General features: G+C 41.7%; 2 annotated features.

Annotated features, from left to right (window-relative positions):
* Positions 1,650-2,522: an enhancer, noted in NCBI's record as "H3K27ac hESC enhancer chr7:123079020-123079892 (GRCh37/hg19 assembly coordinates)". NCBI's record gives its function as "activates a minimal SCP1, AML or CMV promoter by ChIP-STARR-seq in primed H9 embryonic stem cells {active_cell/tissue: H9 hESC(primed)}" and the evidence as "EXISTENCE:reporter gene assay evidence [ECO:0000049][PMID:30033119]".
* Positions 2,523-3,393: an enhancer, noted in NCBI's record as "OCT4-NANOG-H3K27ac hESC enhancer chr7:123079893-123080763 (GRCh37/hg19 assembly coordinates)". NCBI's record gives its function as "activates a minimal SCP1, AML or CMV promoter by ChIP-STARR-seq in primed H9 embryonic stem cells {active_cell/tissue: H9 hESC(primed)}" and the evidence as "EXISTENCE:reporter gene assay evidence [ECO:0000049][PMID:30033119]".

Genomic DNA, 5,051 nt, shown 5'->3' on the forward strand with positions numbered 1-5,051 from the left:
TAGTGAGCCAAGATCACACCACTGCACTCCAGCCTGGGCAACAGTGTGAGACTCCGTCTCAAAAAAAAAAGAAAAGAAAAAGGAAAAGAAAAGAAAAAAAAATCCATATGCCTATTAAATATCTATATTCATGAGAAAAAAACAAGTCTGCCCACTCTGTAACAGAAAGGATCCAACATAATCAACCAGTCACCAGATGGCCAGATAGATTTCCTGGGGAATAATATCGTTTTGTGGCTTTTTATTGGCCTGTGCTGTTGGTAGGTTGGACACCCAGCAGTGGTGGTAGTCAAAGCAGCCTTTGTGAAAAAAAACCTCTGTGGTTAAGCCCATGAGTAAGCTCCATCTATATTGTCACAGTCACTTTGTAGATGGACCCATTGAGTAAGCACCAGAAAGGATAGCAAAAGAAGCTGACTGACATCCACAGAAGGAATCATCTTGTCCATTTGAATACTGACAGTTTCCTCTGCAGTCAGCGCCACCTGGAGCACACTTACCTAGGGCATGCCTATCCACATGCAGCTCCCCTAGAATTCCTTATCACCAATTTTTTAGTTATTATTCTTCCCAAGTCTCTTTTCTGTTGAACAACTTTTTGGCTGCTTCCTATGGATCTTTGTAGATCTATACTAGCAGCCATCTCTCATCCCACAAACATGTACCACCTGAAATTTTTCCTTCTGATAGAATTCTCTTTATCACTGTCTCCCATGACCATCTCAAGTGGAGTTGTAATACAGTGGGCAGCATAAGGGCACACCTGTCTCTCAACCAGATCACGTTCTGACACCATACTGTACGGATCCTTCTATAAACTGGTTCATTTTTTTCTTTCATTTAAGTGGTCATAGGGAACTCTTCATGAGTCCATAGTTGTTTGTTGTTGTTGTTGTTGTTGTTTTGAGATGGAGTCTGTCTCTGTCACCTAGGCTGGAGTGCAGTGGTATGATCTCCATTCACTGCAACCTCTGCCTCCAGGGTTCAAGCAATTCTCCTGCCTCAGCCACCCAAGTAGCTGGGACTACAGGCACCTGCCACCACACCCTGCTAATTTTTGTATTTTTAGTAGAGACAGGGTTTCACCATGTTGGCCAGGCTGGTTTCAAACTTCTGACCTCAAATGATCCACCCGCCTCGGCCTCCCAAAGTGCTGGGATTACAGGCGTGAGCCACCACACCTGGCCAGAATCCACAGTTGTTAGTTGAGGGGTAAATAGAAAAGCAGAAGGAGAACATACCAAGGGAGTTTGAACTATCTACCTCATGAAGTTTACTTGTAACTTCCAGACCTTAAAGGATATTCTCATATAATCTCTACAGGAATGATGCTGTGCATGGTCAACTCTATTATCGTGTGGATCTGATAACTCACAGTTTACTATGGGCATTTTGAGTAACACAGTCATTTAGTGAATCATGACTGGGTATTCAGTTTCCACCACGACCCAAAAGAAGATCAGAACACTTGGCGGAAAATAGCATATTTCTTATACTACAGGTATAGGGTTTGCTAAGTCACATGGCCCAAGCAGAAGAAGTGCCTTTATTTCACTTAAAACTGGCAGTTTTAAGGTTTATTCAATAAATAGTTTAAAGCCCCATATCCAAATGTGGCTTATGTTGCCCCCAGAATCTAAGAAGCCTGCTAAGCATTATGCCTCTTTCTTAACGGTGGGTAATACAAAGTACAGCAAATGGTTTCTTACTTTAGAGAGGAAATCTGAACATTCTCTCCTGTATCTGTCAAGGTCCAGTCAGGAGATTAAAAGCAACACTGTAATTTGAACTGGGAAATTTTAATATAAAGACTTATTGACTAGTAACAAGGGATTAACTACTACTGAGAGACCTCTTAAGAATACAGGAACAGCAGATGCAGGGATCTGTCCACCTTTAAGGTAGAGGCAGATCACCCAAAGAAGAAACAAGTTTGAAAGCATGCCCTACCCAAAGCTGAGAATCAGACCTTGATGGAGAAGGTGTAGATGTGACAGAGAAGTGTGTTGTAATGCCACAAGCCAGGGTTGATGAGCAGGAAACTGCTCATCAGATTGTTGGTAAGATTCACTGGGGAGCTAATCACTGGGGTGTTGACAAAACTCATGGGAGAGTGAACACCACCACTGGGTATTCCAGCCACACACAGAAGTGCTGGCAAAACTCACTGGAGGGGGGGGGTGCCACTGGGTGTTCTGCCCACTGCTCACCACATGGAATAAGGATTCAAAAAAGCACGTGGGAACCAAGAAAATAAGCCCCTCACTAAATTCTCCTTACATTTCCCTCCAGTAGCAATACTTAACATGGTCCAGCTGGCAAAGGAGAAACATTTACAGGGTTCAGCTTCAGTATCGCAAGCAGGGCAAAGAAGTACATCACGGGAGCTGAGAGGCAATAAAAATAAGAATTGGCACAGCTAACTCCTCTGGCTTCTTGGCTCCTATATACAACCTTCTACCCACATTTGAACTTCCTATGCCTCCACCTGTCAAGAAAAGCTATCCTTCAAAGAAAAGATGATTTTCTTACCCGTTCTTCCAAATTAGGAGACTCGGTCCCAACAGTTATTCCATCACTAGTTATATGATTTCTCTCTAAAATTCAGTTACAGTCTGACTCAATTCTGTTACCTAAAGGATAAATTTTAAATGTAACCTGCAATAACTTATATATAAAATGGAAATGGGAAAAAGGAAACTGATTGGCATATACAGATAAAAACCTACAGATAATAAATAAGAGACAATACACAAAGCTACTAGAGCCCTCATTTCTGTAATTGGTCACAGGGCGTTAGTTGTTATCTATGATTTCCTTTTTCCACTGCCCTCAGACAACACCAGCTGGTCAGGATTCTTTATGGGGATGAAACCAAAATCTTTATCACTGAAGTGTCTGAGTTCTCAGTCATGTATTATTTGGTTGCTATAGTTCTCCACTGACCTTTTCTATTAAGAAAACAAGTATTAAAAAGCCCCCAGAGAATCCTTTGGATTCCAAACATAGTTCTCCTTGGCCCCCATTGTATAGCATCACCATGATTTCTCCTTAGTAATTGGGATTCATCTCCCACCCGCTGGCATGCAGATGTGTTACTAAGGCACAAAGGATGCTTGCTACTTCAGGCTTGCCAGGTCCAATTTGCAAATATCAACCATGTAATGGAGCAGCATGACATTCTGTGGAATATCAAGACAGTCAAGACCCTGCTGCATTATGAGGGAGAACAGGAACATTGACAGAGACTTGAGGTAAGATGGTGAAGACTTACTGCTGTCCCTGACTCATGAAGACTAAATACATATTATATATTTTCCTAGTGGGAGTTGAAAACATTTAATAGGTCAATAGATATATGCAAAGAGGTGGAGATACATAGACTTGCTCCAATAAAGACAAGACATCTGTAACCATAGCTGCAATTGGTATCATCCTCTGATTAACTTTATGATAATCCACAGCTTTACAACTTGAATAAAATTTGCACCAGCCTAAAGGGTAATTAAATGGAAACATGATAAGAATCATTATCTTTCCAGTATTTGATGGCATCAATTCTCTTATGGATACAGTATTGTTTTTTGTTGTTCTTTCTGGGGAAGGAAAGGATTGGAGTACAGTTTCAGGGGCTTTCATTTGACCTTTCCTACTATAATAATCCTCACTGCATAGATCAGAAAACCTATGTATGAAATACTGCCAGTTACTAAGTGTATATATATATATATCTGTCTTTATATACTGGGATTGGACAAATGAACATAATGAGTCTATGGTTTGCAATGCACTTATTACTGGATAAATTTAGTCCAAGAATCAAATACCTAGTCATCAAAGACTCTCACTTTGATCAGTGGGCTCCAGTGATGTTTTGAATCTCTGGACCTGAGTCATTTCAGAGCCAGTATCTAAGAACCCTTGGAAGGTCTGGGTGTTTGCTTCTCCCCAGGCCACTGTCCCCCGAAAAATGGCCAAGGTCCCACTAGAGATGACTTAAAGAAACATTCATGGTAACCATTTGTAAGTGTGTAGAGGGGGGTCATTCCTTAAAGATAGACAGCCTCTTTTTCCATCAAGAGGCTCTAGGTCTGTGAAATGGCTCAAGTCTGAGAACTCTATAAAACACATACACACACTCTATAAAATATTCCCCATTACAGCACCTTGAGTAAAATTTTCTCTGTCCTCCAGAGTTGAAATTTCTCTGTTTATGTATGTCAAACAGAACCATAGTAGGCTGCTGTAGTAGGTTGAATGGTGGCCTCTTTTTAGATATGTCCATGTCCCAATACCTGGAACCTGTGAATGTGACCTTACTTTGGACAAAGGGTATTTGCAGTTATAAAGAAATTGAGGGTCTTAAATCATCCTGTATTGTTAGCCAGTGGGCCCTAAGTCCAATGACAAGTGTTCTTAGGCAGAAGACATAGATACATGAAAAGGAGAAGGCAACGTGACCACAGAAGCAGAGATTAGAGTGATACGGTCAAGGAAGCCAATAAATGCTAGAAGGCACCAGAAGCTGAGACAAAGAAGGATTTTCCCATAAAGATTCCAGAAAAAGAGCAGTTCTGCTGACACCTTGATTTCAGACTTCTTGCCTCCAGTACTGTTAAGAGAATACATTTCTGGTATTTTTTTTTTTTTTTTGAGACAGTCTTGCTCTTTCACTCAGGCTGGAGTGCAGTGGTGCCATCTCCTCGGCTCACTGCAACCTCCGCCTCTCAGGTTCAAGCGATTCTCATGCCTCAGCCTCCCGAGTAGCTGCAGTTACAGGCACCTGCCACCACGCCTGGCCAATTTTTGTATTTTTAGTAGAGATGGGTTTTCATCATGTTGGCCAGGCTGGTCTTGAACTCCCAACCTCAAGTGATCCACCTGCCTCGGCCTCCCAGAGTGCTGGCATTACAGGCATAAGCCACTGTGCCCAGCCACATTTCTGTTGTTTTAAGACACCCAGTTTGTGACAATTTTATGACAGTCCTAGTAAGCTACTACAACTGCCCATTTCATTCCTGTGGATATGATGATCAATTAACAGCTGCTAC

The sequence above is a fragment of the Homo sapiens genome, chromosome 7 (assembly GCF_000001405.40).
Source record: "Homo sapiens chromosome 7, GRCh38.p14 Primary Assembly".
Lineage (NCBI taxonomy): Eukaryota > Metazoa > Chordata > Mammalia > Primates > Hominidae > Homo > Homo sapiens.